This window comes from Homo sapiens, chromosome 8 (assembly GCF_000001405.40).
Source record: "Homo sapiens chromosome 8, GRCh38.p14 Primary Assembly".
Taxonomy (NCBI): domain Eukaryota; kingdom Metazoa; phylum Chordata; class Mammalia; order Primates; family Hominidae; genus Homo; species Homo sapiens.
In genome coordinates, this window is record NC_000008.11 from 577,019 (window position 1) to 585,369 (window position 8,351).

An 8,351-nucleotide genomic window follows, 5' to 3' on the forward strand; every position below is an offset into this window, starting at 1 on the left:
GCCAGATACAGTGATGGATGATAGATGATAGATGATAAACGGATGAGCTGGGAAGCGGAAGGAGGGCAGGTGGCAGGGCTGGAAGAGAGGTAGGCATGGGCGGAGGGACGAGAAGTCACAGGGCAACAGTTTAGAGGTCGGTGAATCTGGGTTGAGGGTATAATTGGCAAACAGGAATTATCTTTGTTATTCCTGTACTTTCTCCATACACTGGAAATTATTTCAACCTGAAAACCTGAAAAGCCCATGAAGGAAAGAACAAAGTAGGCTGGACGCCAGCGAAGGGGCCAGCCTGGCTCTCTCCATCTTGCTCCTGCCCATTTCCGCAGGCCGCCAGCATTCTCCCATGGCAGAGCTCTGGGCTCACAGCCTTAGAGACCCAGGGCCCAAATGGCAGGTTGTGTTTCCTTTGTTCCTGGACGTTCTGGCCAGAAGATCCCCATGGAAGGCCTTCGATGGCTCTGTCTTGGGTGAGGCCGACTCTGTGGGCTGTGGCCAGGGTCGGAGGCTCCGTGGTCAGGAGCCCAGCCAGCTCCCAGGCAGCCCTGCTGCCACCCTAGGCTCTTGGTGATTTGCCAACTGCACTTGTCCCCCTTCCAGGGAGCACCTGATGCCCCTCCCTGACCCTCCTCAGCCCTCCCTGAGTGGTACCATTCCCAGCTTCAGAGGCTGACACAGGACCTGGGCAGTCCAAGCCCAGCCAATCCCTGGACTTTGCTGGGCCACTCTTTTCTTCTGAACTTGAGTGAAAGGAGGCCCATAGAAGAGGGCAGGGCCCGCATCACTTAACCCGCAAGTCCTCTGGGACACTGTGGTCCTGCTTCCTGCGCCAGGCATCCCTGGGCTCAGATCCTTCTTCAGGTCCTGACACCGCCTGGGAGCTTGGCCTGGGGACTCCTGTGAAAACCACGTGGCACAGACCACATTGATCGCTGTGCCTGTTTGTGGCTGTTTGTGGGCCAGGGGCACCCACCTCATGCAGCAGGGGTGAGTTGTCTCCCGTAGTATGAGGACAGAATCGTCTGCAACCTTGCAGGGGACTCACAGCGTGCGATGGCCGGCGGGCGTGGTCAGGACCACCCAAGCCCAGATGCTTTTCTCGCCCCCAGATCCGAGGACCCGGGAGACATGTGGCTAGGAACATGTTTCATGTGTCGTCAAAACACTTTCCTCGGCACAGTCCTTTAAATTACTGTGAAAGCCACTGGGATATGTGACTGATTTTAAAGCCCAAAGTGCCACAAGCTGCCAGGATCATCCTCTGGGGCTTAACAGCTTCGTTGTGGCTATTGAAGGAAAATTGATCGTAACGAGTTGGAAAGTCACCAGATGTCCTCTATGACACTGAGCGCTGGAGACCAGGCATAGACCATGCTGGGTGCACCCCCGCCCCTGCCCTCCCACCAAACACCCCGCCAGGTTTGCTGAAGTCCACAGGAGACTGTTCAAGGCATCGTTCCAGACCCCTGTCCCTCGGCAGGTGAAGTGGCAGCACATGGCTGCCTCGCCATGAACACCCACATTTCCAGCTGTGGGTACTAAACTCAGGTAAAAATCGTTCCTCTCCCGAACTGGACCTTGCTAACAAACACATTCGCTGCCCAGACCACACTGTATCTTGAATCATGGTCCTTCCCCTCCTAGTTTTGGTCTCTTCCGTTGGAGAAGCGTGGGCCGTGTGGCCTCAAAGCGCCCCGTGGCTGGAGCAGTTAGAAACAGCCACTGTGGCTCCGTGGTTGCCATCGCCCTGCACTTCCTCAGGGTCCTTCGTGAGGCGACCGAAGGCCTCTGATGGGCACAGGGCTGTGGAGTGCAGCAGACACTAATGGAAATGGGATTGGCAAAGACACAGGACAGCAGCCCGTGGAATGCAGCTCTAACCCAAGCGACCTTGAGCTCTGATGCTGCTGGCACAGCCGCTCCTCTCAGGGAGCAGCTACCGAGCCTCAGAAGAGCATCTGCCACAGCCCCAAGCAGAGACTCCAGCAAGGAGAGTGGATCCATGGGGCCCTGTGGCCCTGGCAGTGTGGACAATGACTCAGCTCAAGACATGGGTCTGCTTGGGACCCCTCCCTCCATGGTGTGGACGCTACTTCCCCACAGCACATGGGACCAAGGACATGACGGTGCCAGGTACCTTGGTGCCATGCACCGAACGCTGTGTCCCTCACCTGGTCCCTGGTTGGGAGCATGGACTTGGCATCTCTATGTCCCCGCTGAAGGGATATAAGCCCCAGAGTGACCGGGCCATGTCTGGTCGGGGCCAGGTGATGGCTTCCTCATGACACCAGCATGCCGGCTCACGTGTGCTTGAGTGCCAGAGTCGGCTCCCAGAGGGCCCAGGACTCAGTACCACCCCCAGCACGGAGCCCAGCTGGGCACAGGTGATGGAGGTGCCCTCCGGTGACATGAGTGGCAGTGCCATTGAGGGTCTCAACATGCCAGTCAGCATGGCGGGGGTCACTCAGGCATAGCGTGTCAGTTGTGGGGAGGCTCCGTCCATAGATGCACTGCCTGAGGCCCGTCAGGCATGGTGGTCCTGGTCCTGTGTGTTTACTCCTCCTGTCTGAGGGCCACTCAGGGCACTCCGTGGTGCTCCCCAGAAGCCTCTCCTCACTTGCTGGTGCAGCCTCACCTGGGCTGCCTGTACTCCCTCCTCATGTCTCAGTCCCTGTGTGCTTGGCCCTGTGCTCACCTGTGCTCCTGTCAACACTGCAGGCTGGGAACTCAGTGTCCCATTCGCTGCCTGGTCACCCACATCCCAGGCTAAGTGCAGGTTCAGGAAGCGTTTGATGAGTGGCTTTGCAGTGTTCGTGCCTGGGTGTGTTGTGAGCAGCACTGGGCTCTCAACTCCACTGTCTTCTAACTCTGTTCTCTCCATTCCGCTTGGCGTATCTGTCCGTGGTGCTGTGGGAGCCTGCAGGTTGCCTCTCACTGCTGCGGGGGACCCGCTTGCCACGCGGCACCTGCCCATGCTTCCCACCTGACCGCCGCCCACATGCCGGATGTGCTGCCGCTCCACTGTGCTCACCAGCATTCAGGGCTTGACTTTACGGGCTTTTCAAGACACGTGGGTGTAAAGTGGTGTCTCACTGTTTTCATCTGCATTTCTCTCCTTTGCAGTAACTTTGAGGTTATGAGCACACACATGGTGCTTGTGTCTCTTGAACTGGCTTCCTGTGGTGGCTATCAAATGACCACGGATGCAGTGGCTTAAACACACACACTTATCTTCTCCCGCAGTTCTGGGGTCAGAAGTCTGAACGTGGGTCGGGAGGGGGGCGTTCCTTCCGGAGGCTCCAGGAAGAGCTGACTTCCTCACCTTTCCCAGCTCCCAGAGGCCCCACATTCCTGGGTGAGGCCCCACGTTCCTGGGCAAGGCCCCTGCCTCCCTCTGCAACGGCCCCAGGAACAGCCCGAGGCCCATCCGGATCAACCAGGCTCCTTTCCTCTCCAGGCACCCACCCAGAACCTCCGCAAAGGCCCTTGTGCCCTGACTCATCTCCACAGCTTCTGGGAGCAGGGACCCAGCAGCTCCGGGAGGGTCACATCTCACCACAGATACTCATCCATAGCACTCGTACATCCTTCTGTTGGGTTTCCTGCTTCTTGATGACTTGCAGGAACTCCTTGTATATTTTAAATATAATCCTGGTTGTCTGAAACACTGTAAGTATTTTCCCCCTGCATGGATGGGTTTATGAACTCTGCCTACCATAGACTTCACTGAGTGGAAATTATTAATGTTGACATAAAATTCTATCTTTTTTTTTAACCTTATGGATGCTGCTTTGGGATTCTTGTTTGAAAAAATATTTCCCAACCTACAAAGATCCTTACTTTTATTGTCCTTGTCTGTTTTTAAAAAAATATTTTTTAATTTTTTTAAAATTTGGAGATGGGGTCTATGTTGCCCAACCTGCTCTCAAACTCCTAGGCTCACATGATCCTCCCATCTTGGCCTCCCAAAATGTTGGGATTACAGGCATGAGCCACTGTACCCGGCTCCCAGTTTCATTTTTATTATTTAAGAAATTAACCTATCTGGAATCTACCTTTGCTTAAATGTTGTAATGTAGGACCAGTTTTATCCACATTGTGATTTTCTAAATACCGCTGGCCAAACTGTCATTCTCCCATTGTCCTGTAATGTCCTCTTCATCATTTACGTGGATCTACTTTGAACCCTCCTTTCCCTTCATCTACGAAGATGTTCCTACATCAGTACTATAGTTAATTTTTAAAAATTCATCATTAAAATTTTAATATATAACAGAAGAGAGTAGTATAAATAACCCATGTGTCCGTCTGCAGCCTCAACGATAATCGGTCTCTAATCTTTTGATGCCATGGCTGTGTACTGTGGCTTGTTATTGGTAGGTTATTTTCCTGCCTTGATCTCCAATGAAAGAGTTACTACATCTACTAATAGGCATTTTTGCTTTCATGTGCATCTTAGAACAAATTTATTGAAGTCATCAAAAAATCCAGCTAGAAGATGAATATTCATAGTTTGAAACACTTATAGCAATAAAAAAGAATGAGTGAAAATTGATTAATTAAGCATCAAACTCAACAATTAGAAACAACACAGCAAAATTAACTGAAGGAAACCAGAAGGAAGGAGCTAAGAGAGAAGCACAGGCTAATACAGTAGGAAAAAAGATAACAGGTAGACTAACAAACAAATTAGAAAGCCGATTCTTTGAAAAATAAAGCAAGATAAATTGATAGATAATGTTGCCAAGAATACAAGGTGAAAAAGCACAAGTATACAAAATAAGGAATGATGAGGTAAAAATAACAAGGAAACAGATGAAATTAAAAGCATCATGAGACCACCTGCTCAACGCTATTCAAATCAGCTTGAAATCCTAGAAAAATGGACGATCTTCTAAGAAAATATGGACCAAATGGATCTCAAAAGAGACGGAAAATCTAAGTTAGTCACTTTATTTTAAAAAAGAGGTGCTCACCACCGACACCCAGAAGCAACAGGTGCAAACATTTTTATGGGAGAATTGTAACAAACTTTAAATAGCGGATAATTCCAATAATTTAAAAAACTCTTCCAGAACAACGGAAAAGAACGTAAACCTCCAATTTTTTTTCTACACAGCGAATAACATTAGTGACCAAAACCTGAAAAGACTGCACCAAAAAGAAAACTACAAGTCGTCCCCAATCTCACCTATACATATCAATAAAAACGTAAATAAAATATAGTCTGTTATGGAGAATGGTCTAAGCAATAAATAAATACATAAAGAGAAAAAGAAAAATGTAGAAATACAGTAGCACATTTAAAATAGTGCAAGGTGATCAAGGAATGGCAGGATGGTTCTAAAATAGAGTATCTATTATTACAATTTATCATATTAATAATTCTGAGAAGAAATTACATCATCTTCAGAATTGTGGTAAACATATTTTTAAAACATTCCTTAATACTGAATAAAATGAGATAAATATTTACTATTAAAAACATATCTAATATGAAATATTAATTTGCTTGTTGGTTAGTACTTTCACTGGAATCAAGAAAAACCAAAAATACCCAGTACCAGCACTATTGAATAACATTATACTGGAGGCATCAGTGCATGAAATTAGATAAAAGAAACAACATAGAGCATACAAATTAGAAAGGAGGAGATAAGGTTGTTTACCAGTACTAAGACTGTATGTTGACATTTTCAATAGGGTACAAGACCATTCCATGGGGAAAGAATAATCTTTTCAAGAAATGCATCTGGGACAGCTAGAAATCCACATGCAAACTAATGAGGTTAGACCCTTCTCTCACAACATATACAAAAATTCAAAATGAATAAAAAGCTTAAATACAAGTGCATACATCATAAAACCTTTAGAAGAAAACATAGAAGTAAATGTTCATGACCCTAGACTTGTGAATGATTTCTTAGATATGAAGCCAAAAATGCTAGCAAAAAAGGAGATAAATTGGACTTCATCAAAATAAAATACTTTGTGCATCAAAGAACACAACGAAGAAAGTGAAAATACAGCCCATAGAAAGGGAGAAAATATTTACAAATTGCGTATTTCATAAAGGTATCTGGAATACATAAAATCTCTTCTAATTCAACAACAAAAGACAATCAACCCGACTGAAAAATGGGCAAAGGATTGAATGGGCATTTCTCCAAAGAAGATTTACAAATGGCCAACAAACATATATGTTAAAAGAAAAACTTCAGATGAATTAAATTTAAAGGAGTTTAATTGAGCTATGAACAATTTATGAATTGGGCAGCCCCCAGAATCATGGTAGATTCAGAAAGACTCCAGGGATGCCTCATGGTCAGAACAAATTTATAGACAAAAAAGTGAAGTGACATACAGAAATTGGCAATGCGGTATAGAAACAACTGGATTGGTTACAGGTTGGTGTTTGCCTTATTTGAACACAGTTTGAACACTAAGCAGTCTATGAGTGGTTGTAGTATGGCCGCAGGGATTGGCCAAGACTCAGCTATTGTTACAGGCACATACTCCTAAGTTAGGTTTTCAATCTTATCTCCCTATTAAGCTAAGTTACAGTTTGTCCACAGGGACTCAAATATAGAAATATGGAGTCCTTCTCAAGGCATATTTAGTTTGCTTTAAATCGAAACCACAATGGAAATCACTGCACACCCATTTCATACCCACTAGGAGAGCTATACTTTTTAAAAAAAAAAAAAACAGGAAAACAACAAGTGTTGTCATAGATGCGGAGAAATTGGAATTCTTTATTTTATTTATTTATTTATTTATTTATTATACTTTAAGTTCTAGGGCACGTGTGCACAACGTGCAGGTTTGTTACATATGTATACATGTGCCATGTTGGTGTGCTGCACCCATTAACTCGTCATTTACATTAGGTATTTCTCCTAATGGTATCCCTTCCCCCGCCACCCCATGACAGGCCCCGGTGTGTGATGTTACCCACCCTGTGTCCAGGCGTTCTCATTGTTCAATTCCCACCTATGAGTGAGAACATGGGGTGTTTGGTTTTCCGTCCTTGCGATAGTTTGCTCAGAATGATGGTTTCCAGCTTCATCCATGTCCCTACAAACGACATGAACTCATCCTTTTTTATGGCTACATAATATTCCATGGTGCATATGCACAACATTTTCTTAATCCAGTCTATCATTGATGGACATTTGGGTTGGTTCCAAGTCTTTGCTATTGTGAATAGTGCCGCAATAAACATACATGTGCATGTGTCTTTATAGCAGCATGATTTATAATCCTTTGGGTATATACCAAGTAATGCAATCACTGGGTCAAATGGTATTTCTAGTTCTAGATCCTTGAGAAATCGCCACACTGTCTTCCATAATGGTTGAACTAGTTTACACTCCCACCAACAGTGTAAAAGTGTTCCTATTTCTCCACATCCTCTCCAACACCTGTTGTTTCCTGACTTTCTAATGATCGCCATTCTAACTGGTGTGAGATGGTATCTCATTGTGGTTTTGATTTGCATTTCTCTGATGGCCAGTGATGATGAGCATTTTTTCACGTGTCTGCTGGCTGCATAAATGTCTTCTTTTGAGAAGTGTCTGTTCATATCCTTTGCCCAGTTTTTGATGGGGTTGATTTTTTCTTGTAAATTTGTTTAAATTCTTTGTAGATTCTGGATATTAGCCCTTTGTCAGATAGATTGCAAGATTGTTCTCCCATTCTGTAGGTTGCCTGTTCACTCTGATGGTAGTTTCTTTTGCTGTGCAGAAACTCTTTAGTTTAATTAGATCCCATTTGTCAATTTTGGCTTTTGTTGCCATTGCTTTTGGTGTTTTAGTCATGAAGTCTTTGCCCATGCCTATGTCCTGAATGGTATTGCCCAGGTTTTCTTCTAGGGTTTTTATGGTTTTAGGTCTAACATTTAAGTCTTTAATCCATCTTGAATTAATTTTGGTATAAGGTGTAAGGTAGGGATCCAGTTTCAGCTTTCTACATATGGCTAGCCAGTTTTCCCAGCACCATTTATTAAATAGGGAATCCTTTCCCCATTGCTTGTTTTTTCAGGTGTGTCAAAGATCAGATGGTCGTAGATGTGTGGTATTATTTCTGAGGGCTCTGTTCTGTTCCATTGGTCTCTATCTCTGTTTTGATACCAGTACCATGCTGTTTTGGTTACTGCAGCCTTGTAGTATAGTTTGAAGTCAGGTAGCATGATGCCTCCAGCTTTGTTCTTTTTGCTTAGGATTGTCTTGGCAATGCGGGCTCATTTTGGTTCCATATAAACTTTAAAGTAGTTTTTTTCAATTCTGTGAAGAAAGTCATTGCTAGTTTGATGACATTGAATCTATAAATTACCTTGGGCAATATGGCCA

General features: G+C 45.2%; 2 annotated features.

Moving 5' to 3' along the window:
• Nucleotides 395-896: an enhancer, noted in NCBI's record as "H3K4me1 hESC enhancer chr8:527413-527914 (GRCh37/hg19 assembly coordinates)". NCBI's record gives its function as "activates a minimal SCP1, AML or CMV promoter by ChIP-STARR-seq in primed H9 embryonic stem cells {active_cell/tissue: H9 hESC(primed)}" and the evidence as "EXISTENCE:reporter gene assay evidence [ECO:0000049][PMID:30033119]".
• Nucleotides 897-1,396: an enhancer, noted in NCBI's record as "H3K4me1 hESC enhancer chr8:527915-528414 (GRCh37/hg19 assembly coordinates)". NCBI's record gives its function as "activates a minimal SCP1, AML or CMV promoter by ChIP-STARR-seq in primed H9 embryonic stem cells {active_cell/tissue: H9 hESC(primed)}" and the evidence as "EXISTENCE:reporter gene assay evidence [ECO:0000049][PMID:30033119]".